We start from the raw sequence: 27,060 nt of genomic DNA, 5'->3' as shown, positions 1-27,060 counted from the left end.
GAACGTTCACCAAAAATAATAAGTTTGAACTCTCTCCCCTGGTGTTAATTCTGGGTTGTTTGGAACCCAGTTTATCTGAAGGAGTCGGTCTCTGGACTTTCTAGTAAAGGGTGAGCATAGATGTGTGGAAAAGGGGGTGCTGTTCCTTTAAATTCTGCAAGTGAACTTGACTCAGGAAGGCCAGCGGCTCAAGGTCCAGCCCCTGGAAGAGAGAATAGCTACAGATTCTCCATCCTCAGTCTTTGCAAGGCGACAGCTGTGCCAGCCGGGCTCTGGCAGGCTCCTGGCAGCATGGCAGTGAAGCTTGGGACCCTCCTGCTGGCCCTTGCCCTGGGCCTGGCCCAGCCAGCCTCTGCCCGCCGGAAGCTGCTGGTGTTTCTGCTGGATGGTTTTCGCTCAGACTACATCAGTGATGAGGCGCTGGAGTCATTGCCTGGTTTCAAAGAGATTGTGAGCAGGGGAGTAAAAGTGGATTACTTGACTCCAGACTTCCCTAGTCTCTCGTATCCCAATTATTATACCCTAATGACTGGTGAGTACCATGTCCTCTTCTGGGCAGGGAGGGGAGGGCTGGCATCCAGCAGGGAACAGTGAGCTCCTGGCATTGGAGTCTTATTTAAATGCTCTGGATTCTCTAGTCCTTTGGGACATCAAAGGTAGATAAAAAAAATCTGTGTTCTTGGCTGAGAAGACTTTTGTTTTCGTGGCGGTATTGTTTCCCAAAAGTTATCCCAAGGACCTGTTTTGGATTCTCAGTGCGGAGGACAGAGAACTATAGCAGTACATGATATTTGACGATATTAAAAGTGGTCGTTTATTTTAGAAAGAGAAATTCTAATGAGGCTCATATTTTCTAAGTTCAAGTCTGCAAAAGCAACAGGTGTCCGTGCATGTGTCCCAAACTCCTTCTGTCCCTTTTCTCTGTGGTCATGTCATCCTGGCACCCTGTGGGCTTGTTTCTCAGTGTGTTGGACTGTGAAAGTACCTGTGGGGTCCTCAGAGGGGAGTGGTGCTCCCGGATTACTTGGGGAAGGGGGGATGTTTAGGTCATATCCTTCCCTGTGACTTAGCAATGCCACCTTCCCCTTCTTTTGCCTTTTTGGCCAGGTAAAATGATACGGAGAAGAAAAAGCTTGTGTCGTTCAGGTTCCCCATTTGTGATTTGCAGCATCTACAAAAGACCAACCAGCAAAAACTCCACAAAACAAACAAAAACCTCGGCTAACCCAGACTGCCTGGGCTTGGGATAGCTGATTTTCCTAAGGACGGCCTTCATCTGAAATTGCCAGGACTCCAAACGCGACTGCATGAACCTGAGCCTCTATCCGTGCGATAATAGAATGTGCAGCCCTCTCTCTGCTCACAGAGTTGGATTCCCAGTTTCTGGTTTGTTTTTCAGCTATAACCTTTGTAAAGGCAGCGAGAGGCTCTCAGAAAGAATTTAGCAAACTATCCAGGGAGGCTGCTAAGAATGCACTGTTATTGCTGGTTATGCGGGACTCAGCTATGCACTCTGAGCACAGAGAGAGCTCTGCTAATTATGTTAACAGAAAGAAAATGAGATCTCTGATATCTCATGGACCTCCACAGAACACTAAAGCCAAAAGAGTCTAAAACAGACATTTATATCTCTGACTTTGTGCATAGATACTATATACACATGTACGGAAAAATGCCATAAACTGATGCCCCAAACTGAAGGGGAGAGATACTTCGGAGAAATAAAAATGAGGGCATGAGAGAGAGAAAAAAATCAGACTGCACACAAGCAAGGAAGTTATGTATTTGTTTTTTATTTCCCCCAGCAGACAAAAAAACAGTCTCTAAGATAAACAGAATTAACAAAATTCTCTGGCCCTCCCCTGGCATGTGTCTCCCCTTGCAGGGAAGCAGTTTGCAGGCTGCCGGCTCTCACATAGACGTGATTGTGTGGACAGCCGACTCCAGCTCTGTGCAGCGGCTTCACACACACAGCCCACCCCCACTCCAGCTGTCTTTCAGAGCCTTGCCAGGGGACCCAATTCATAAACTGCCACGCCACGTGCAGCTTCTGCAATCTTAGTGGAAAATGAACAAAATCCATCTTAGAAAGGACTCAAGTAAGTAAAAGGACCATTACAGACTCCACAGAGACACTAAGCCAATGACATGGCCTTTTGTTTGTCAGATCCACACTCCTGATATTGGCACAAGGAATAATTTGCACACAGCCTCCGTCATGCTGAGACACACCTTCTTTTCCGGCTGTGGGTGTTTTCCCTTGTGCTGTCCTGAGAGAAGGGCCCCTTCCTTTATGGGCAGCACAGGTCCCGTGAGTGTCTGACAAAGATCTCACCCTTGCTTTCAAACTGAGGCTGGCCCGAGGAAGCCACAGGTCTCCATATGTGTTAAGTCTCTGTATTTTCAGATGGCCAAATGTATTCACTGATGTGGAAGTCTGCTTGGTCTATATGTTTCATAGAAGCTACCCTGCACAAGGGAGGGATCTAGCAAGGCTCATGTTTCTGTACAAATGTCCTTGGGTATGATTTGTCTTGTACCTACTGGGCAGACTTGCAGACTTGAAGCAGAATTCGCAGGCTGGGAAATGCCAGGCCATGAACCTGGTATCACCTCCACTGTCTTGGAACTGACTCAGAGTTAAATTTAGACTATTTTCCCCAATACCCATACTTATTTTTCCACCTGATGCTGAAAACCTCCTCTTTTACTCATATAAAGAAGGATATAGCCATTGGGAATTGTAGCTAAACATATGGTTTGAGCATTTGAGCATTTTATGAACCAACAAAATTGCTATGCTAGATCTTTTTGGAAGCAAAAGATATGCTGTTTTAGGGTTCCTCAGCATTCACAAGAGAGGCTAAGCTCTCACTTCATTACCCGAATTATTGCTCAGAATACAGAAAGCCCTTGGTGTTCTTCCCTTTGCATAACGAGGAGTGATGAGTTGTTGGAAAGAATGCTGGCCCTTGAGCTGGGAGAACTTGCTTGGAGACTTCAGGCAAAATAAAATGAGATGAACTGCCGGGGCTGCATCAGGCCGGGATTTCAGGTGCTGCTGGATGCAGACATAGAACTAGGCAATGCATGGGGAATTTTATTTTATTTTATTTCACTTTAAATTCTGGGACACATGTGCAGAACGTGCAGTTTTGTTACAGAGGCATACATGTGCCATGGTGGTTTGCTGCACCTGTCAACTCGTCATCTAGATTTTAAGCCCTGCATGCGTTAGGTATTTGTCCTAATGCTCTCCCTCCCTGTGCCCCCGATCCTCCAACAGGGCCCAGTGTGTGATGTCCCCCTCCCTGTGTCCATGTGTTCTCATTGTTCAACTCCCACTTATGAGTGAGAACATGTGGTGTTTGATTTTCTGTCCCTGTGTTAGTTTGCTGAAAATGATGGCTTCTAGCTTCATCCATGTCTCTGCAAAGGACATGAACACATTCTTTTTTATGGCTGCATAGTATTCCATGGTGTATATGTGCCACATTTTCTTTATCCAGTCTATCATTGATGGGCATTTGGGTTGGTTCAAAGTCTTTGCTATTTGCACAGGTAATTTTAAAGTTAGGGCTGGACCCTCCTAGGAGGCCTTCGTGTAGAAAGTATGCAAATAGCGGAAACTCCCTTGAGACAGAGAATTTCACAGTGGATGGGGATGGGGAATCAACAGGCCTATTTGTGAGCAACCTTGAAACCATCTAGCCCAGTTGCTGCCATGAAGCCACCATGGCTGATTATTTATTTGCCTCAAAACATGTTTATATCAGGACAAAAGCAACCAAAATGCCAATCATGATCATGAAGATGAATCAAACAATTGAATGCCAGGAACATTGAATCTTTTTTCTTTTTTTTTTTATTATTATACTTTAAGTTTTAGGGTACATGTGCACATTGTGCAGGTTAGTTACATATGTATACATGTGCCATGCTGGTGCGCTGCACCCACTAACTCGTCATCTAGCATTAGGTATATCTCCCAATGCTATCCCTCCCGCCTCCCCCCACCCCACAACAGTCCCCAGAGTGTGATGTTCCCCTTCCTGTGTCCATGTGTTCTCATTGTTCAATTCCCACCTATGAGTGAGAATATGCGGTGTTTGGTTTTTTGTTCTTGCGATAGTTTACTGAGAATGATGATTTCCAATTTCATCCATGTCCCTACAAAGGACATGAACTCATCATTTTTTATGGCTGCATAGTATTCCATGGTGTATATGTGCCACATTTTCTTAATCCAGTCTATCATTGTTGGACATTTGGGTTGGTTCCAAGTCTTTGCTATTGTGAATAATGCCGCAATAAACATACGTGTGCATGTGTTTTTATAGCAGCATGATTTATAGTCCTTTGGATATATACCCAGTAATGGGATGGCTGGGTCAAATGGTATTTCCAGTTCTAGATCCCTGAGGAATTGCCACACTGACTTCCACAATGGTTGAACTAGTTTACAGTCCCACCAACAGTGTAAAAGTGTTCCTATTTCTCCACATCCTCTCCAGCACCTGTTGTTTCCTGAGTTTTTAATGATTGCCATTCTAACTGGTGTGAGATGGTATCTCATTGTGGTTTTGATTTGCATTTCTCTGATGGCCAGTGATGATGAGCATTTTTTCATGTGTTTTTTGGCCGCATAAATGTCTTCTTTTGAGAAGTGTCTGTTCATGTCCTTCGCCCACTTTTTGATGGGGTTGTTTGTTTTTTTCTTGTAAATTTGTTTGAGTTCATCGTAGATTCTGGATATTAGCCCTTTGTCAGATGAGTAGGTTGCGAAAATTTTCTCCCATTTTGTAGGTTGCCTGTTCACTCTGATGGTAGTTTCTTTTGCTGTGCAGAAGCTCTTCAGTTTAATTAGATCCCATTTGTCAATTTTGGCTTTGGTTGCCATTGCTTTTGGTGTTTTAGACATGAAGTCCTTGCCCATGCCTATGTCCTGAATGGCAATGCCTAGGTTTTCTTCTAGGGTTTTTATGGTTTTAGGTCTAACGTTTAAGTCTTTAATCCATCTTGAATTGATTTTTGTATAAGGTGTAAGGAAGGGATCCAGTTTCAGCTTTCTCCATATGGCTAGCCAGTTTTCCCAGCACCATTTATTAAATAGGGAATCCTTTCCCCATTGCTTGTTTTTCTCAGGTTTGTCAAAGATCAGATAGTTGTAGATATGCGGCGTTATTTCTGAGGGCTCTGTTTTGTTCCATTGATCGATATCTCTGTTTTGGTACCAGTACCATGCTGTTTTGGTTACTGTAGCCTTGTAGTATAGTTTGAAGTCAGGTAGTGTGATGCCTCCAGCTTTGTTCTTTTGGCTTAGGATTGACTTGGCGATACGGGCTCTTTTTTGATTCCATATGAACTTTAAAGTAGTTTTTTCCAATTCTGTGAAGAAAGGCATTGGTAGCTTGATGGGGATGGCATTGAATCTGTAAATTACCTTGGGCAGTATGGCCATTTTCATGATATTGATTCTTCTACCCATGAGCATGGAATGTTCTTCCATTTGTTTGTATCCTCTTTTATTTCGTTGACCAGTGGTTTGTAGTTCTCCTTGAAGAGGTCCTTCACATCCCTTGTAAGTGGGATTCCTAGGTATTTTATTCTCTTTGAAGCAATTGTGAATGGGAGTTCACTCATGATTTGGCTCTCTGTTTGTCTGTTGTTGGTGTATAAGAATGCTTGTGATTTTTGTACATTGATTTTGTATCCTGAGACTTTGCTGAAGTTGCTTATCAGCTTAAGGAGATTTTGGGCTGAGACAATGGGGTTTTCTAGATATACAATCATGTCATCTGCAAACAGGGACAATTTGACTTCCTCTTTTCCTAATTGAATACCCTTTATTTCCTTCTCCTGCCTAATTGCCCTGGCCAGAACTTCCAACACTGGGTTGAATAGGAGTGGTGAGAGAGGGCATCCCTGTCTTGTGCCAGTTTTCAAAGGGAATGCTTCCAGTTTTTGCCCATTCAGTATGATATTGGCTGTGGGTTTGTCATTGATAGCTCTTATTATTTTGAAATAAGTCCCATCAATACCTAATTTATTGAGAGTTTTTAGCATGAAGGGTTGTTGAATTTTGTCAAAGGCTTTTTCTGCATCTATTGAGATAATCATGTGGTTTTTGTCTTTGGCTCTGTTTATATGCTGGATTACATTTATTGATTTGCGTATATTGAACCAGCCTTGCATCCCAGGGATGAAGCCCACTTGATCATGGTGGATAAGCTTTTTGATGTGCTGCTGGATTCGTTTTGCCAGTATTTTATTGAGGATTTTTGCATCAATGTTCATGAAGGATATTGGTCTAAAATTCTCTTTTTTTGTTGTGTCTCTGCCTGGCTTTGGTATCAGAATGATGCTGGCCTCATAAAATGAGTTAGGGAGGATTCCCTCTTTTTCTATTGATTGGAATAGTTTCAGAAGGAATGGTACCAGTTCCTCCTTGTACCTCTGGTAGAATTCAGCTGTGAATCCGTCTGGTCCTGGACTCTTTTTAGTTGGTAAGCTATTGATTATTGCCACAATTTCAGATCCTGTTATTGGTCTATTCAGAGATTCAATTCCTTCCTGGTTTAGTCTTGGGAGAGTGTATGTGTCGAGGAATGTATCCATTTCTTCTAGATTTTCTAGTTTATTTGCGTAGAGGTGTTTGTAGTATTCTCTGATGGTAGTTTGTATTTCTGTGGGATCGGTGGTGATATCCCCCTTATCATTTTTTATTGCGTCTATTTGATTCTTCTCTCTTTTTTTCTTTATTAGTCTTGCTAGTGGTCTATCAATTTTGTTGATCCTTTCAAAAAACCAGCTCCTGGATTCATTGATTTTTTGAAGGGTTTTTTGTGTCTCTATTTTCTTCAGTTCTGCTCTGATTTTGGTTATTTCTTGCCTTCTGCTAGCTTTTGAATGTGTTTGCTCTTGCTTTTCTAGTTCTTTTAATTGTGATGTTAGGGTGTCAATTTTGGATCTTTCCTGCTTTCTCTTGTGGGCATTTAGTGCTATAAATTTCCCTCTACACACTGCTTTGAATGCATCCCAGAGATTCTGGTATGTTGTGTCTTTGTTCTCGTTGGTTTCAAAGAACATCTTTATTTCTGCCTTCATTTCGTTATGTACCCAGTAGTCATTCAGGAGCAGGTTGTTCAGTTTCCATGTAGTTGAGCAGTTTTGAGTGAGATTCTTAATCCTGAGTTCTAGTTTGATTGCACTGTGGTCTGAGAGATAGTTTATTATAATTTCTGTTCTTTTACATTTGCTGAGGACAGCTTTTCTTCCAAGTATGTGGTCAATTTTGGAATAGGTGTTGTGTGGTGCTGAAAAAAATGTATATTCTGTTGATTTGGGGTGGAGAGTTCCGTAGATGTCTATTAGGTCCGCTTGGTGCAGAGCTGAGTTCAATTCCTGGGTATCCTTGTTGACTTTCTGTCTCGTTGATCTGTCTAATGTTGACAGTGGGGTGTTAAAGTCTCCCATTATTAATGTGTGGGAGTCTAAGTCTCTTTGTAGGTCACTCAGGACTTGCTTTATGAATCTGGGTGCTCCTGTAGTGGGTGCATATATATTTAGGATAGTTAGCTCTTCTTGTTGAATTGATCCCTTTACCATTATGTAATGGCCTTCTTTGTCTCTTTTGATCTTTGTTGGTTTAAAGTCTGTTTTATCAGAGACTAGGATTGCAACCCCTGCCTTTTTTTGTTTTCCATTTGCTTGGTAGATCTTCCTCCATCCTTTTATTTTGAGCCTATGTGTGTCTCTGCACGTGAGATGGGTTTCCTGAATACAGCACACTGATGGGTCTTGACTCTTTATCCAATTTGCCAGTCTGTGTCTTTTAACTGGAGCATTTAGTCCATTTACATTTAAAGTTAATATTGTTATGTGTGAATTTGATCCTGTCATTATGATGTTAGCTGGTGATTTTGCTCGTTAGTTGATGCAGTTTCTTCCTAGTCTCGATGGTCTTTATACTTTGGCATGATTTTGCAGCGGGTGGTACCGGTTGTTCCTTTCCCTGTTTAGCGCTTCCTTCAGGAGCTCTTTTAGGACAGGCCTGGTGGTGACAAAATCTCTCAGCATTTGCTTGTCTGTAAAGTATTTTATTTCTCCTTCACTTATGAAGCTTAGTTTGGCTGGATATGAAATTCTGGGTTGAAAATTCTTTTCTTTAAGAATGTTGAATATTGGCCCCCACTCTCTTCTGGCTTGTAGGGTTTCTGCCGAGAGATCCACTGTTAGTCTGATGGGCTTCCCTTTGAGGGTAACCCGACCTTTCTCTCTGGCTGCCCTTAACATTTTTTCCTTCATTTCAACTTTGGTGAATCTGACAATTATGTGTCTTGGAGTTGCTCTTCTCGAGGGGTATCTTTGTGGCGTTCTCTGTATTTCCTGAATCTGAACGTTGGCCTGCCTTGCTAGATTGGGGAAGTTCTCCTGGATAATATCCTGCAGAGTGTTTTCCAACTTGGTTCCATTCTCCCCATCACTTTCAGGTACACAAATCAGATGTAGATTTGGTCTTTTCACATAGTCCCATATTTCTTGGAGGCTTTGCTCATTTCTTTTTATTCTTTTTTCTCTAAACTTCCCTTCTTGCTTCATTTCATTAATTTCATCTTCCATTGCTGATACCCTTTCTTCCAGTTGATTGCTTTGGCTCCTGAGGCTTCTGCATTCTTCACGTAGTTCTCGAGCCTTGGTTTTCAGCTCCATCAGCTCCTTTAAGCACTTCTCTGTATTGGTTATTCTAGTTATACATTCTTCTAAATTTTTTTCAAAGTTTTCAACTTCTTTGCCTTTGGTTTGAATGTCCTCCCGTAGCTCAGAGTAATTTGATCGTCTGAAGCCTTCTTCTCTCAGCTCGTCAAAGTCATTCTCCATCCAGCTTTGTTCCATTGCTGGTGAGGAGCTGCGTTCCTTTGGAAGAGGAGAGGCGCTCTGCTTTTTAGAGTTTCCAGTTTTTCTGTTCTGTTTTTTCCCCATCTTTGTGGTTTTATCTACTTTTGGTCTTTGATGACGGTGATGTACAGATGGGTTTTTGGTGTGGATGTCCTTTCTGTTTGTTAGTTTTCCTTCTAACAGACAGGACCCTCAGCTGCAGGTCTGTTGGAATACCCTGCCGTGTGAGGTGTCAGTGTGCTCCTGCTGGGGGGTGCCTCCCAGTTAGGCTGCTCGGGGGTCAGGGGTCAGGGACCCACTTGAGGAGGCAGTCTGCCCGTTCTCAGATCTCCAGCTGCGTGCTGGGAGAACCACTGCTCTCTTCAAAGCTGACAGGGACATTTAAGTCTGCAGAGGTTACTGCTGTCTTTTTGTTTGTCTGTGCCCTGCCCCCAGAGGTGGAGCTTACAGAGGCAGGCAGGCCTCCTTGAGCTGTGGTGGGCTCCACCCAGTTCGAGCTTCCCTGCTGCTTTGTTTACCTAAGCAAGCCTGGGCAATGGCGGGCGCCCCTCCCCCAGCCTCGCTGCCGCCTTGCAGTTTGATCTCAGACCGCTGTGCTAGCAATCAGCGAGACTCCGTGGGCGTAGGACCCTCCCAGCCAGGTGCGGGTTATAATCTCGTGGTCCGCCGTTTTTTAAGCCCGTCGGAAAAGCGCAGTATTTGGGTGGGAGTGACCCGATTTTCCAGATGCCATCCGTCACCCCTTTCTTTGACTCGGAAAGGGAACTCCCTGACCCCTTGTGCTTCCCAAGTGAGGCAATGCCTCGCCCCGCTTCGGCTCGCGCAGGGTGCGCGCACCCACTGACCTGCGCCCACTGTCTGGCACTCCCTAGTGAGATGAACCCAGTACCTCAGATGGAAATGCAGAAATCACCCATCTTCTGCATCGCTCACGCTGGGAGCTGTAGACCAGAGCTGTTCCTATTTGGCCATCTTGGCTCCTCCCACTGAATCTTAAAACAGGCCTTTCACCAGGGAGATTACATTCAAGCAGGGGAGGCAGAACACTCGCGAATGGGTGCCCACTAATATTCTAAAGTGTGTAGCAAGGTGTTGTGAGCCCAAATGTGTCCTCATCCTCCTGTCCCCCAGTTCAAGTTGGGTTTCCAGTACCTCAGAATGTAACCACATTTGGAGATAAGGTCTTTAAAGGTGACCAAGTTAAAACAAGGCCATTAGAGCGGGCTATTCCAATATGACAGTATAGGAAGGCGAAGAGACACAGGCATGCGCACGTGCAGAGAAAAGGCCATCTGAGGACACAGCAAGGCGGCCCTCGCAGGCGGTGGAGAGGGGCCCAGGAGACACCAATGCTGCTAACACCTTGCTCATGAACTGTGAACAAATAAGTTGCTGTTGTTGGAGCCACTCCATCTGTGGTACTTTATAATGGCAGCCCAAGCGAATGAATACACAGAGAATAGGGAGTAGGGCCCCAGCGTGCTGCAGAGGACCAGGGAGAGGAGGCGTTCCTTCCAGTTGGAGTAGTGTGAAAAAGCATTTTAAAGAGGAGAGATCTGAGCTGGAAGAAACAGCCACCGGCGTGGTGTGTGTCTCTACATCTTACTTTAGGCATAAGCTCTCTCTCTGAAGAGCGGTGTGTGGATCAACTAGTGAAAACACAACCACAGTTTAAATGCCCTTGGAATGCTTTCTGTTTTAGTGTATCTTACCGTGGATCTTTTCGTAAAGTTATTCTCCCTTTGGGGTAAATTCACATTTGACTGAAGTGGAGTTTAACATAAAGTCAAGGAAAGAAAGCAGTGATTTGTTCAATCCAGGTCATGGGTAAGAGGGAAATGCTGCATCTGTTTTGAGGCAGCGTAACTTAGCATCATTTTGCTAAGGCTAATGGTAACATTTGTTTGCAATTTTCAAACACTTCCGGTTAAGCAGTTGAGGAAAGTGGCCCAGAAACATTCTGAGTAGCGGGGAAGCCAGTCTAGAATTTTATCTTTACTGCCAGTAAACTACCAAGAGATGAACAGATGCTGAAATAAGTTTGTTCCACAGTATATTATTATTATTTCAACATTTAGACACTAGTAAATAAAGTGCAGGGAAATTCAATGTTTTGTTTCAGGCACCAAAGAACGTCGTGGCAGAGCTGAGATGGGGGAGCAGGCATCAGAGACCCCGTTCTCACACAGCAACTGGCCAGCGCCTAGGCGAGTAGGCATCAGAGGTCCCGTTCTCACACAGTAACTGGCCAGGGCCTAAGCCTGCATCTTAGAGTGGCCAGAAGGTTGTGCGAGTGACCTGAGACCCAAGGATAGAGATCTCCCCAAGACAGTCCGGGAAGCAGCGAGAGACCGAATCATCGTGCTCCTCTGTGGAAATCAAGGCAACAACAGGGATGTTAACTACTCAGCATTACTATTTGTGCCACGGCATTTTGTCTCGCACTCCTAGAAATCACCTGTGACACAAATTCTTACTAGATATCATGTTCTGGGGTAAAACAGCAGAGTAAGGTATACTTCCTACCACCCCACCTTTTAAGAAAACATCTGATTTAAATTAAAACTGGACCAAAGGCAATCAATGCAGAAAGTACTTGAACAATCGTGTTTCGAGAGAGCCCACATCCTCAGCCTTCTGCAGAATTCAAGCTTCCTGGCCGGGCGCGGTGGCTCACGCCTGTAATCCCAGCACTTTGGGAGGCCGAGACGGGCGGATCACGAGGTCAGGAGATCGAGACCATCCTGGCTAACACGGTGAAACCCCGTCTCTACTAAAAATACAAAAATTAGCCGGGCCTGGTGGCGCCCGCCTGTAGTCCCAGCTACTCGGGAGGCTGAGGCAGGAGAATGGCGGGAACCCGGGAGGCGGAGCTTGCAGTGAGCCGAGATCGCGCCACTGCACTCCAGCCTGGGCGACAGAGCGAGACTCCGTCTCAAAAAAAAAAAAAAAAAAAAAAAATTCAAGCTTCCTTTGAGGGGCTGTTCACAGACTCTGCATACGCACAGCTCCAGGTAGGGTGGAGACAGCCTCCCTGGTCCCCTCCGCCCTCCTTCCCCCAGGATTAGCATTTACATGGGGACATTGCCCCAGCTTGTGAGCCTCCTTCAATGTAGGTACCTCCTGAAATAAATGATCTCTGTTCGGCATGCCCTCTTCCTGTCTTCCTACTCTCTCTTGCACCAAATCCAGCGAAGCTTCTGTTTGGAACAGTGTCCTCCCGGGCGTCCTGGTCATTCCCAGCCTTAGTTCCCTGGCTGGGAGCTGCATCTGCCTGACGGCTCACAGGTCCCAGGACCCTGTCCTCTCTCAGTTTCCTTTTACTTTACTCACTCCTCCTTCATCCTTTCCCTTGGTTCCTCCTGATCTCCCTGACCTTCCTCTGTCTCACAGTGAAATCAGCTGACCTTTCAAGGTCGATCCTCAGCCTCTCCTCCCCCAACCTCCATTGCTGACCCCTGGCTGAAGCCACCACCCTGACTGCCTGGAGCCTCCTCTACTCCAGCTCCCTCTCGCTGCCTGCCCCACAACTAGAGCAGCCCTGTTTTGAAAGCAGTGCCTGCCCTACAACCAGAGCAGCCCTGGGAAAGCAGTCCTGATGACACCACTCCTCTGTTCAAACCCTCCAGCGGGTTCTGTTGTACCCCAAGTGGAATCTAACGCTCTTGCAGACCTGGCCCTATAGGTCACCCAGCCCCTTCGGGGCCTCGCTCCCACCACCCTTCTCTTCGCTTGCTTGTGTCCCGCTGGGCGTGCTTGAGCACGCTGCTCCTCCTGGCTGCTTCCCTTCTGCTTGTTCCCCAGAAAGGCCCAAGCTGGGCATCGCTGCATTCTTCAGATCTGCCCCACAAGGTCACCGTGGCGGATGCGTCTTCCCCAGCCACCCCACCAGCGCTCTCTCTCCCTCTTACTTTCTTTATTTTCCATCACGGCACCAGATTATTTATTTCTGTCTTCTCCAAATAAAACTTATTATAGTGGGCTGGGCACAGAGGCTGACACCTATAATCCCAGCACTTTGGGAGGCCGAGGCAGGTGGATCATTTGAGGTCAGGAGTTCGAGACCAGCCTGTCTAACACGGTGAAACCCTGTCTCTACTAAAAATACAAAAAAATTTAGCTGGTTGTAGTGGTGGGTGCCATAATCCCAGCTACTTGGGAGGCTGAGGCAGGAGAATCGCTTGAACCCAGGAGGAGGAGGTTGCAGTGAGCCAAGATGGTGCCACTGCACTCCAGCCTGGGCAACATGAGCGAAACTTCATCTCAAAAAAAAAATTACTATAGCGAAAAAGCATTATAATGATGATTAAGACATTCAGAGTTTCAGGGAAATGAATGATCACTTTGATGTTCGACACTTCTAAACTAATAAGGAGGAGAAAAAACTACAATCATGCTTTGCTCATATGAAAGCAATTTGCATTTAGTGAACTGATTACCCTTTACGTCTAGTAATCTTACATATCTCAAAATGTGTCTTTCAGTTTTGTTTTAAATTTTGATTATAAGGTTGGAGTCAGAAAGAGGCCTGGAAGGAGAGTCACCTCCAAGGAGAGCTGTGTCAAAGTAGGAGATGAAAGAGACTGGGGATGGTGGGAGAAAGTTTAACCAGGAACCAGTGGTCAGCACAGCCCAAGGGAGAGCCTCCTTGTAGTGAAGATCGCTGAAGTCGAGAAAGTGGAGCCAACAGCCACGCATGGAACCAGGCACATGATTCAGAACCAGCGTGGAACACTGTGAGGACGGTTCAGGCCTAGGTGCGAGTGGTCTGGCTGTCGGACCTAGGGACGCATGTGGCAGCTTAAAGGGACTTGCACGGCCACTCTTGTGTTTTCAGCCTCTGTCCCAGGCTGCTTAGGTGGCCAGGCTATGTATGCCAGCATCGCAAGGAGCTACTTAGATGTTTAAAAATATCAGGCCACGTTATGGGCTAATTTGTACACCCCCAAAACCCATGTGTTTATGCCCTGCCCCCTAATATCTCCGAATGTGACTGTATTTGAAGATAGGATCTTTAAAGAAGTAATTAAGGTAAAATGAGGTCACTAGGGTGGGCACTCATCCAGTATCGCTGGTATCTTTATAAGGAGAGGAGATTAGGACCCAGACGGGCACAGAGGGAAGACCACATATAGACACAGGGGGAAGGCGGCTGCCTGCAGACCAAGGAGAGAGGCCTCAGAAGAAATCAACCCTGATGACATCTTGATCTCAAACTCCCAGCCTCCAGAACTGTAAGAAACTAGATTTCTTTTGTTTAAGCCACCCAGCCTGTGTTACTTTGTCCTGACAGCCATTGGAAAGCAATATAAACGGGATCGTGACACTAGGCTGCTAATGGAAAAATGCAGGGTTTTTTTACACAGCCCACTTCCATGACCAAACCTACTCACTGAGAGTTTCTGGTGACTTCTGCCCTGAAATTGAGGCAGTCATGGTGTGTTAGCTTCCTAGAGCTGCTATAGCAAATTTGGATTCCCAAAGTCTGAAATCCAGGTGCGGGCAGGGCCGTGTTCTCTCTGAAGTCTCAAGGGGAGAACATGTTCTGCGCTTTCCCCTGCCTTCTGGTGTCACCAGCAATCCTCGGTATTCCTTGGCCGGTAGATACATCACTCCAACCTCTGCTTCCATTGTCACGGGGCATTCTCTGTGTTCCTCTGTGCTTCTCCTTCTTGTAAGGACACCAGCCATATTGAATTAGGGCCCACCTTAATGACATCATCTTAACTTGACTATGTCTGCAAAGGGCTTATTTCTAATAAGGTCACATTCACAGGTCCTGAGGCTGGGAACTTCAGTATATCTTCTTGGGGGCCACAAGTCAACCCATTACGCATGGTCCAGTGGAGAAAGTTACGGATTTAGCTGTCAAAGATCAAACTTAATCTATTCTGTCACTTTTTGACTTTCAGAATTTGAACAGCTTCTTTTGAGTGTTAATATTTTGTTTTGTTTTGTTTTAGAGACAGAGTCTCGTCCTATCATCCAGGCTGGAGTGCAGTGGCACGATCTCAGCTCACTGCAACCTCCGCTTCCCTGGTTCAAGCGATTCTCCTGCCTCAGCCTCCTGAGTAGCTGGGATTACAGGCACCTGCCCCCACACTTGGCTATTTTTTTTTTTTTGTATTTTTAGTAGAGATGGGGTTTCACCATGTTGGCCAAGCTGGTCTCAAACTCCTGACCTCAGGTGATCCACCTGCTTTGGCCTCCCAAAGTGCTGGGATTACAGGCATGAGCCATTGTGTCCAGTGAGTGTTAATATTTTATCAGTAGAATGTAGAAAGTAAATGTTACCCAATAGGCTTGCTGTGAGAACAGAATGAGCAAATATATGTGTAAACTCACCATTAGTAAGAGTGTACATATTACCCCCTTTATCAGTAAGGTGAGGCTGAGTTATGTTGTTGCAACAAGCAATTCCACACCACGTCTGTCTTAGAATAGCTCAGGTTTATTCCTCACTCATGTGCGTGGCCTTGAGGAATGACCTCCCCTCCGATTTCCTCTTCATTCTGGGACCCAGGCTGAAAAAAGCAACTTCTAAATGAGACATGCTGCTCTCATGGCAGAGGTAAAAGATAAAATAGAACATTGTGATCATGGATAGTTTGGGCAAAGGAGGAGAAGTGAGCGTGGTCAGGTCAGAAGGAGGGGTGCTGAGCCCATTTGCCATCTGGGTGTGGGTCGGGGGTTGCAGAGAATAGAGTGTGTCAAAAACGTGCAATTGATGAAAGTCTATGAAAGCCATACCAAAGGATAGTCCAACAGGCTCCTCCTCCCCTCCTGTTCCACTCCAGACTTCACCGCATCTATCCTTTATGATGGGCTGTAAGTGAGGGGGAGAGTTGAATTTGAAGGGCACCCATGAGGCAGAACTTGCTGATTGGCTGATGAGTGAATACGAAAGAAGAGCCTGAACAGATGCCACAGCTGCAAGATCTTCTGAAGTCTGAGTAAAGGGGCTCTCATTAGCACAGATGGGAAAGTTTGAAGGGCTATTAATCTCAGTGAGATTTATTTGGAAAAGTAATTTTCATCAAATTATATTTCAATTTGAGTAAGATATTCACTTGGCATTAGCCCTTTAGGGGATCAGAGACCATGTCTTAAAGGAGAGTTCAAGAAGCATGCAGAATACCACTGAGGCAAAGGAGAGAAATTGATCCTGTGGGTCCTAGTGGACCCCAGTAAATGGACTTCCTATCTCACTGCTTGCTACCCAGCTGGTAGAGAATATTTCTCACGGATGCACAGTTAAAATCTGTCTTCCCACCTGAATTAACTTTTGTCAACATTTTGTCATATACTTCCCAGAGACACCTAACAACATTTTTTCCACTTAAACTATACTCTCTGTAATGAGCCTCGATTAAGCTGCCTAAAGAAGCAGGCATGGTAGGCGAGGTGTCCAGCAATTGAAGCTAGAAGTGGGTAAGAGCACTACTAACCAGCCATGCCCTGAGGAAAAAAAAAAATGTGTTCTAAGAATTTACTAAAATAATGTCTCCCAGCACATCATTATTTAAGCTCCTATCAACAGACCTCTCTGCACTGAAGTGTCACTTTTCAAAAAGTATGTTTCTTTTGGCTTCCATGGTGACCAGAGGGTGTTCTGATTATATGGCATTCAGCTGCTGGAAACTTGCTCCATGAAGAAGGGAGTGGTTAGAGTAGGGGGCAAAGCTGTAAAATGTGGTGAAAGCTTTTGATTGTAATAACAGCAAAGGCGTTTCCAGAAGGCTTGTCCACGTGGAGCCACTGCGGTCTACACACCATGGCGATCTCACAACACCCCCCCGCCCCGCCTCCCTCACCCCAATGTTGATTGATAGGATCATGTGCCTCCTGCCAAGGCTTTGGGGATGGCTTGACCCCTGCAGCTCCAGTTCCTGCTCAGCATGAGTGCTGTGCCAAAAGTGGGTTAAAGGGCATTTCAGATTAATTTGGAGGGAGCCTGACTCAGCAGGTTAACATTCATCTCAGAGACACCTTCAGCAACACCTGCTCGAGTTTCAGAGCCCCTCTCCATGAATAGGTCCATTGTGTCCACACGATAACCAGGCAGAGACCTGGGGCAGAGCTGGGGGTCCTGGGGGCGCGCGTGCTGTGTTTGACTCTTGTTGGATACTTTGCTTGGTCTGAACCGACTCCCATCATCAGCCCTTTCGACAGCAAGGAGAGAAGATCCAGAAGGCAGATCATGGGAGGATGCGTGGGCCACCTTATTTAGACAAAGGGCTGTCGGGGCTGAGAGCAATGGAACTTTGGTCCAGGATACTGAAGATCTTTACTTCTTGATGAAGGAACTACCCAGGGCACCTTCAAGAGCACGTGCATGGGAGAATGTGTGTACATGTCTGCAGCAGAACAACCCAGGCTGAGTGCTAGGGACCAGGAGTGGGCTCCAGGTGTGCCAGGAGGCCAGGTCCCCCGGGAGTCACCTTTGGTGGTGAGCAGTCTCATCCACTCAACCTGGGTTGCCCAGCCGATTATCTGCACAGGGCAGGCTGCGAAGCAGTGTGGGCCACAGGGCAGGGAAAGGGGGCAGAGGAGCCGGCTTCTCCTGACTGCCACAGTCCGCAGGGACTTGGATACATTACATCATCTTCCTGGGCCTGCACTCTTGCTGTTTAGCGTGAGAAGACCAGACAAATGGAGCCCTGAGGTTGGTTGTGCATTTAGTGAGTGCGCAATTGATGTTAATTAGGTTCTGGCCAACTAGGTGTGCTAACCCCAACCGAAGCCAAAAAGGTTCACAGTGACTCGATAGCCAATTACATATGCTTGAATCCACCTTTTGTTGAGAGGCCTCCACGCACCACAGATCATGTAATTAACCAACACACAAGCAGTAATAACAGTGTGGTAAGGAAACGCGGCGATGGCTCGGGAGAGCAGCACACCAACAGATGTGCCGAGTGGGTCCGGACGTCCTTGGGACGCTGGTCAATGGGGTCCTCACCGCTTCTGGCATCAGATGCCAAAATTGGGAGAAGGCTTCAGAGCTCTCATGGGCAGAGGCTCTAAGGGTGTCTTGAACGAGGCCAGTTCTTGGCTGCTTTTATTGTCCTCCCAGATGAGTTTGCTCTCATCATCTAAGCCACCTTTCACTTTCTATTGGTCTGTTTCAGGGTTGGGTGGCACTGGGCAGCAGCAGGTGTCATCACTTCAGTCCATTGCATATGTGTATATCGCTTTGAGGAGGGAGACAGCTTCACAGTGGGCTTACTGATATTTGGCATGAGTGACTCCATTTTGAGACATTAGGAGCACAAATTATGATATCAGGGATGTGTGCTGGGAGTGTTCTAGGTGCTGGAAATACCATAGAGAGGTTCTTAGGGCCCACTGAGTGGGAGCAGACGGAAAGTGGGGGGACTGGGGTGGGCTCCCAGCGAGACGCTGTGTCCCTTGCCCTGTTTTATGATCACAGTAGCTCCAATTCGACCTGTTTTGTACATATGAAGAAAGTGCTCTATAGTTAATCCCACTGGACACTGATGGCCCCTAACAAGGACTGGCCTGAGGGAAGGGTGGACGGCAGCAGACAGAAGTCCTGTGTCTGTGGATGTCACGGTGGAGACACCCACAGAATTTGCCTAAGTGGCACCCAAGCCTTGGGCTCTCCTTCCAGGTTCTGAACACAAATCAATCACAGTAGCCCATCAGCTCTGCCGCATGTCTAGCTTTCCCTGAAAGATCCTCTGTGTGTCTAAGGATTTGGCTTTCACAGGTGGACTTGAGAAAACATTATTCTTTAAAGGTTGAAAGCAGCCACCGTACAGAAACGTAAATGTTTGGGAGAAAACCTCAAATATTGTGTTCTTCAGCCACTCACTAGCAGACCATGGGCCTAGCCTGGAACCTGCCCCCCAGCCCACTTCAACCCCTGCCTGGCAGCCCAGACTCCTGACAACAGCCCCCCAGCCCGTGAGATATCTCATCACAGAGCCCACCAAAGAGGGAAGATGGGTAACTTTGAGGCTGGGGCACGTCAAGGCATCAGGGAGCCTGAGAGAAGACGCCTCGGCTCCAGCAGCCCCTGGAAAATGCTGCCATGTCACTTAGCCTGAGACGTTCCAAGCAGCGTGATCTGTGTGTTGAGTAGCCAGTTATGTTAAAACCATTCATGCGTGTTCCCTTGGTCTCTGGTCACATATGCTTCGTGGCATGGAGGCGGCCTCTCTCCTTCTCTGTTCAGCCAGACTCTTCCCAGAGCCCCTGCAAGGAGACACAGCCATTCAGGTCATCAGGGCCCCAGCATAGGGTACTTGCCAGTTGGAGGGAAAACATACCTTTGAAGATGCCTAAGAAACCAGGAATCATGGTACCTATCTGGATGGCAACTGGACAGATGAGAGACAAGATGGGACACAGACATCTTGTTGCCTATGTTTTTGAACAATGTGGATTACTTACCTATTTGCAATATTAAGTGAAAAATTTGTATCAGATCTAATGAGACTTGCTCAACTCTAGTAGAACAAGCAGACATTTTGTTCAATATTGATTAAATCCCCATTTGTGATTTAGGGAAATACATTCACATTCAAAGAGTTTTGAAATACATGTTCCTCAATCTAGTGGACCTAAAGCAATGTTTTGTGCTTTGGTTTGGTTTTCTCAGTCTGCACTGCAGACTTGCAAACGGTGACCAGCCAGGGCTCAGGACACCCAAGCTTGAGGTTTTTGTCACTATCCTTCTCTCAGTGCCACCACCTCTGGGAGCTGCCACTGCCCCTCTGAGAAGCAGGACTAAAGGCCATCTATGAGACCTCCCCTAGTGTACAGCCTCGGAAGGGCTCCCATTTCGCAGGTGGGTCCCTGCAGGCAAGACCTGTCCTTGCAGTAATCCCCACTACTGTTGGTCTACACTCCCTCAGGGGCAGTGGAGTGTGGACCGTCTCCACGTTGGGGACCAGTGCTTACTCAGAGAAGACATTGATTTGTGTTTGTTGGACTGCACTGGCTCAGAGCCAGGGCCTGGGCTTTTCCCAGCTCTGTGGCAGAAGCCTTGGGTTCCCCATCTTTCTACAAGGCTCTGGAGTTTTGCTGCCAAGCCCCGTCTGTTGGCTGAGGTTGCACTCTTTTCTAACAAACTGCCCAGTGCATCATATGCCTGTTTTGATCTCACTGGCTTCTGGATTCTTCTGGCCAAGCTCCATGGGCCTCTAAGTCCTCTCCCCTCATCTTCATACTGGATGCCTCTCTCGCCCTTAAGGCCGACAGCAACACCACTGCTGTGTTCATCCTGTTGTCCTGGACTTCCCAGCACCCAGAGCTATCCCTGGTGTTCACTGGTCTCTGTGGGAGGATCTAATTCCAGGTTCCAGTTACTCCCAGTCTGGCCCATTCCCCTGCAGCTTAGCTGGCTGGCCTTGTCCCAAACCATGACATCCCTCCTTGCACATTTCTATGAGTGACTTTCATAGTCTATTTTAGCATGCATTTTTCTGTGTAAGATATAACACTAAAACTATATGAATGAGCTTGGGAATATGTAACAAAATCCACTACATCCCAATCCAAATTTCCCCCAAAGGCATTCAGAATTACAAAATGCCAAAAGCAGAGGATGACTTAGAGATGCTAGTGCATTTGTGTTATTGTGCAGGACACAGAGGCCAAAGATGCAGATCCGGAACCAGATAAAGGGAGAAAAACCACACCAAGTGCAGGTTTCCAAGCCGGGGCCAGCATCTGGCATCCCTTAGATGATCAGGGACGGAAGCCCAGGCATTCTCTTCCAGCCCCTCTCGCCATGTACCCAAGTTGCCCTTTTTGCCTGAGCTCTCGACCTTATTCTGAGTACTCTACTCTTTCAATGCTGAACTTCCCTGGGTTGCTTTTGCTTCTTTCTTCAGCCTCATTAACATCTCCCGGGAGGTACAATCTGAGATGGAGATGAGATTCAAAGCAGTGAGAGAGAGAGAGTGTGTGGTGCATGTGTAGATTTCATCAACAATTTGGCCCAGGGGGAGGTGGAGCCACGTAGAAGATTGTGGCTGGTTTCTGGACTCAGCTTGGCCATCCTCTCTATTTTCTAGTGCCGTGAATAATAACTGAAGACTGGCTGCTTACACCCTTTACATAATCCCATCAAGCTCTGATGGAACAGATAAGAAAAGCACATTCCAAGGAATTCACTCTCAGCCTGTGTCAACATGTATTATAACGTCCAGCTAAAAGCTAAAAGAATCTAATAAAAACAAAGAGACTTTACCCAATCCCCAACCACCTGTTTGCCTGTTCTTTTGAACTGACTGGCTAGCTGTGGGGGGGTCTTGAAAGTTGACCTCATGAGATTCCCTCAGGGGACATCAGACTGATCCCTAACCTTCAAACCAGAGGACCATCAGGGTTCTTGCAGCCAGTTGTGAGACGCCTGTTGGGATGGAATTTAAACCATGATCTCTTCACCTCTCCCTTTTCACCTCCTGGTTTTTGTTGGAGGCCTCTCTGGGAACTCTCAGTCCTTCTCTTTGTTGATACCATCTATTCTTTCTGTAAGAGCTTTACTCCCATCCTCTACCACACCCACAGCCCAAGCCCTGGCTTTCCTCCACCTGTCTTTCTCTTTCAAGCCAAAATAAGATGCCCTCCTTCCAAAAGGCTTTGACATGTAGATTGTAACATTTCAGAGATGGATGGTGCCTTGAGATCTTGTTATTTTCATCCACTTGCTAACTCCTTTTCCACTTACTGTCTGAACCACAGATTTTGGTAATTACACCAACATATAGTATTGACATACATAGTCATACATTGCATTCATACATGAATAATATCCATTCAAGAATATACTGAATTTCTACTTTGTAAGAGTTCTTAAGATGCCAGGACATGGCCTCTGTCCTGAACAAGCTTGAATAAAGTTGAAGCAATTAAATATGTGTCAAAATGAATATAATCGTCGTACAGGATAGAACAGGCACAGGGGAAGCACAGCTCATTTCTGAGAGTGTATGTGAAGAGGGAAGGTTCGCTGAGGCGACAGTTATTTGAGTAAAGCCTGAAGGATCCGGACAGCTTGAAACCTGGAGGAAGGGCCTCGTGGGTGAACAGCATGGCACAAGCCAAGGGGCAGAGATGGGGTGACAAGGAGCGTTTGAAGACCAGAGCTGGGCTTTGGGATGATGACTGTGACATCTCTGAGCAGGGCAAGTTTCAGGGCCAAGGGAGGCCACTCAAGTCTAAGTTGAAAATGATGGAGCCTGGGAGTTGAGTTCCCAGGGCCAGAATGAACCTCAGGTCAAGCAGTTGATCAGCTCTGTGGAGAAGGACCTGCAGGACCAGCTGGATGTGGAGGATTAGAGAGAAAGAAGTCTTGGGTCAGATGAGAGTCTAAGCTAAACCTAGGGGAAGATTAATAAATTACTCTGTGTGTACAGTGAATTCAAGTTCACAGACTTGGGTGTATAAGAAATACTGCATTTCTCAGTTTTTATTTAAATAAACCTAAATCTATCCATGATCCTTGAACACATTCATCTAAGTGAAATCAGCCAGAAACAAAAGGACAAATATTGTATGATTCCACTTATATCAGGTTACCTAGAGTGGTCAAATTCACAGAGACAGAGCGTAGAAGGCGAGTTGCCAGGGGCTGTGGGGACGGGGAATGGGAGTTAGTTTTAAGGGGTACAGAGTTTCCAGTTTAGGATAATAAGACATTCTGGAGCCAGACGTGGTGATGATTATACAGCAGTGTGAATGTACTTAATGCCACTGAAGTGTGCACTTAAAAATGGTTAATCATGTCCTTTGCAGGGACATGGATGAAGCTGGAGACCATTATTCTTAGCAAACTAATGCAAGAACAGAACACCAAATACCACATGTTGTCACTTATGAGTGGGAGCTGAATGATGAGAACACATGGACACATAGAGGGAAACAACACACACTGGGGCCTATCGGACAGCGGAGGGTGGGAGGAGGGAGAGGATCAGGAAAAATAACTATTGGGTACTAGACTTAATACCAGGGTGATGAAATAATCCGTACAACAAACCCACGTGACACAAGTTTGCTTAGGTAACAAACCTGCACTTGTACCCTTGAACTTAAAATAAAAGTTACAAAAAATCAATATACAAAAATAAATAAAAAATTAGAAATTAGAAATTTTTAAAAATGGTCCAAATGGTACATTTTTGTGTTACGTATATTTTACCATGATAAAAAAAATCTGACTCTGACTCCCAAGCCACTGGGCTTATCAGCATTTCAGTTTTGATCACTGCTGGTTAGGTGTGGGGCGTCTTTTTCCTGCTGAGGTCTAGGAAAGGTCCTTAGGTCATAGGCAGTCCCACGGAGTTGGGGCAGCAGCACTGGTCATTGCTCCATACTCGTTCCCACCAAACGCCCATGTGCCAGTCCATGTGTCTCCAGAGACCAGGTTCTGTGGCTTTGGGCTGGACAACCTTGTGCCATGACGCCAGCCTTCCCCATTGTATCTCACAGACATCAGTCCTCCCGTGTGGGTTCTGCCACCAAGCAGGGCGTGTCTCCTACACTCCCGGGACAGGTTGACTCCTTCTTTTTCCTCCCTGGTCTGGGAAGAAGACTTCTCACCAGGGCCACCCTCGCGGGTGGGACCTGTGCAGTCCCACAGGGGCTCTGTGCTTATTAGGACCCTGTGCTTGGTTTAATGCACTGTTGTCACTGTTTTGAAATTCTTAATAATTTGTGGATGAAGGATCTCACATTTTCATTCTTCACTAGGCCCTGCGAATTATGTAGCCTCTCTTGCCTTCTTGTCTTCTTGTCTTCTCTGAAAGGCATGTGGCTTTCTTTCCTCCCTGCCAGAAACATTGTCACGATGTGCTCAAATGCACTCAGGAGGGGTGCATCCAGCAGTCATCGTGACTGTTCGTTGCTCCAGAAACACAGGAAGATGAGGGGGAGCACGCAGGGAGAAACATGCTAATTAATGTGCAGTGAAACATCTCAGTACAGCATCTCAGTGAATCGTTTATATTCTCACACTGCGACGCTTGCGGGACATTCAGGTGGTGACTTCTTAGCAGCCGCGAAGGCCCGGAGATGCTGACCGAGGAGTGGGAAATCATCTGAGTAGATGAGGGACCATGATGGTAAGAAAGAGGAACCTCGGGGACCATGCTCACATTCAGTGGGCACAGTGTGGAAGAAGAGGTATCAAAGGAGACAAGGAAGAGGCAAAGAGCTATCAGGGACCGTGGCAACAGAGGCCAAAAATAGCATTAGGATCTCAGCAAGGCCAAAGCAATCAAGGAAAGGCAAAGCTTCTAATAGAAGAAAGTCAGTAGCATCAAACTGAACAATTAAAGAATATAAGAAATGAAAACACCCTTAGGTTAGGGGATTTGTACCTCAGCAGCAGAGTTTGCAAAACCCCTAGGGAGCTGGAAAGGAGGAAAAATGCTTTGTAGGTAAATTCTGCATTTGGAGCTTTGGAGGTTGGTATTTGCCTACATAGCTGGGAATCTGGAGAATGTAACCTAATTTCCATATGCTAATTAGATCCCATATATGGATCTATAGTGGTGATCTCAACTGATCTTTTAAAATGATTACTAATAGCTTTACTGAGGTATAATTTACATGTTATAAAATCTAGCCATTTTAAGAGTACAACCCAGTTATTTTTAGTATATTTACAGAGATGTGCAACCACTGCCACAGTATACTTTTATTTAGAATATTTTTATCACCCCAAAAGGAAACTTTGTGCCCTGCAGTTGCTTCCCATCCTCACCTCCAGCCCTAAGCAACCTCCAACTCTGCCTTTATAGATTTGCCTTTTCTGGACATTTCATACACATGGAATCATACAATATGTGTTCTGTTGGGTCTGGCTGCTTTCATTCAGTAACTCTAATGATTCTGAGGTTCGTTCATGTTGCATTAGTATGTTTCTCCTTTTATTGCCAACTATTGCACTGTGTGGATAGGCCACATTTTGCTTATTCATTCACCAATCGATGAACATTTGGGTTGTTTCCACTTTGTGGCCATTGTGAATAATACTGCTGTGAACATTTGTGCACAAGCCTTTGTGTGAATATATGTTGTCATTTCTCCTGAATAGATACGTAAGAGTGAAATTGTTGCATCATAGGATAATTCTGTGTTTAACATTTTGAGAAATTGCCAAACCATTTTTCAAAATGGCTGCACCATTTTACATTTTCACCAGCAATGTGTGAGGTTCTGACATCTCCACAACCTCACCAACACTTGTTATTATCTTTTTAAAATTAGAGCCACTCTGATAAAAGAGCCATTATTGTCTTTTTTATCAAAGCCATTCCAGGGTTATGAAGTGGCATTTCATGGTTGTTTTATTTGCATTTCCCTAAAAACTAATGATGTTGAGCATTTTCTTTTCATGTGCTTGTGGACTGTGTGATAATTTCTTTGGAGAAATGTTTATACAAATCCCTTTACTCATTTTAAAAATTAGATTGTCATTTTATTTTTAGTTGTAGGAGTTCTTTCTATATGCTAGATATAAATTCCTTATGGGATATATGATTGGCATGTATTTTTCTTCCAGGCTGTGAGTTGTCTTTTCACTTTCTTCATGGGATGTCTTGCTGTACAAAAGCATTTATTGTTGATGAAGTCCTATTTATCAACTTTTCCTTTTACGACTTGTACTTTTTGTGTCATAACTACAAAATAATTGCCTAACCCAACATCGTGATGATTTACTCCTATGTTTTCTTATAAGACAAAGAAAATTTCTAGCTCTTACATTTAAGTTTGTGACCCCTTTTGAATTAATGTTTATATACAGTGTGAGGTAGTTGTCCCCGCACTATTTGTGAAAAAGACTATTCCTTTTCCATTGACTATTTCTGACAGCTTTGTCAAAAATCAATTGATCATAAATATTAGAGATTATTCTTGGGCTCTCAATTTTATTCCAATAATCTCTTGATGTTTAGGTGTATCCTTATGGTGAGATCAGACTATCATGATTGCCACGCTTTGTAGAAAGTTTCAAAATCAGTATACATAAATCCTTTAATTTTGTTCTTTTTAAGATTGTTTTGGCTATTCCAAGTCACTTGTACTTTCATATTAAATTTGGGAAGAACATGTCAACTTTTGCCAAAGCCAGCTGGAATTTGGATAAGGATTGTGTTGAATCTGTAGTCCAACTTAGGTAGTATTGCCATCTTAACAATACTAAGTCTTCTGATCCATGAATATGGGCTGTCTTTCCATGTATTTGGGTTGTTGCAGTTTCCTTCAGCAATGCTTTGTAGCTTTCAGCGTACATTTGGTACTTCTTTTGCTAAATATTGCTAAATGTTTTATTTTTTTTGACGTTAATGTGAATGGAATTATCTTCAGAATTTTATTTTTGCAGTATATAAACTGTAATTATCTTCCTACCTTACTGAATTTGTTTATTAGTTAAAAGTTTTTTGTGTATTCCTGAGGATTTTCTGCATACAAGAATATACAAGATCATATTTTCTGCAGATAAAGGCAGTTACTTCTTCCTTTCTAATCTTGATGCCTTCAATTGATCTTTACAGTCACGTTAGGAGTTATGTACAGGCATTTTACAGATGAGAGAACTTTCATCTAGAGAAGTTAAGTGCCTTGCCTGAGGTCAACTAGTCAGGAAGTGAGTGGATCAGGACCAGAACAGAGGGCTTCTGCTTCCCCCTCCATCGCTCTGCGTTCTCAACACACTGCCTCCAGTTGGCAGAGTCAGGATCTGAGAAGACAATGGATGGCCTATCTCTGTAGCACTCCTATTGTCTTCCTTTATTACAAGTAGCCGGATTCAGTCAAGCAGGGAGCAGAACGTACATTTCCCAAATGTCTACCGTATTTTGTGCTATGCTCAGTGCTAGGTACGTTCAAACACTATTCCAATTAATCCTCATAAAACCCTATAAAGTAGTCACAATTGTTCCCATTTTACAAATGAGGAAACCAAGGCTCTGAGATATTAAATTACTTGTTCAAGATTACAGGGCCCATAAATGGAAGAACTATGAGTACAAAATCCTGTGCTCCCCACAACATCATGCTGCCTCTTCCTTCTGACTTCTAAGGAAGCAGCTCTCAGGGCCGCCATCCTGCATAGGCATCTACGTGTCTCTCCCTTAGACAGTGATCTTGTAGCTGCATATGCACGTGGCATACGCCTGC

The 27,060-nt window shown here is 45.2% G+C and overlaps 1 protein-coding gene across 1 annotated transcript in view, besides 1 other annotated feature; it reads left to right on the top strand.

The window, feature by feature from the left end:
• Positions 1 to 237: 237 nt before the first annotated feature.
• ENPP6 (ectonucleotide pyrophosphatase/phosphodiesterase 6) overlaps positions 238 to 27,060 on the top strand; it is a 129,168-nt gene continuing 102,345 nt past the window's right edge. Inside the window, exon 1 of the mRNA NM_153343.4 lies at positions 238 to 532. Coding sequence (NP_699174.1) covers positions 292 to 532 — 241 coding nt within the window. The 5' untranslated portion in view covers positions 238 to 291. The remainder of the gene's footprint in view (positions 533 to 27,060) is intronic.
• Positions 9,005 to 9,598: an enhancer, noted in NCBI's record as "NANOG-H3K27ac-H3K4me1 hESC enhancer chr4:185129666-185130259 (GRCh37/hg19 assembly coordinates)". NCBI's record gives its function as "activates a minimal SCP1, AML or CMV promoter by ChIP-STARR-seq in naive H9 embryonic stem cells {active_cell/tissue: H9 hESC(naive)}" and the evidence as "EXISTENCE:reporter gene assay evidence [ECO:0000049][PMID:30033119]".

This window comes from Homo sapiens, chromosome 4, assembly GCF_000001405.40.
Source record: "Homo sapiens chromosome 4, GRCh38.p14 Primary Assembly".
NCBI classification, from domain to species: domain Eukaryota; kingdom Metazoa; phylum Chordata; class Mammalia; order Primates; family Hominidae; genus Homo; species Homo sapiens.
The sequence above is the reverse complement of the archived record's forward strand: the minus strand, read 5'-3'. Positions and strand labels throughout refer to the sequence as shown.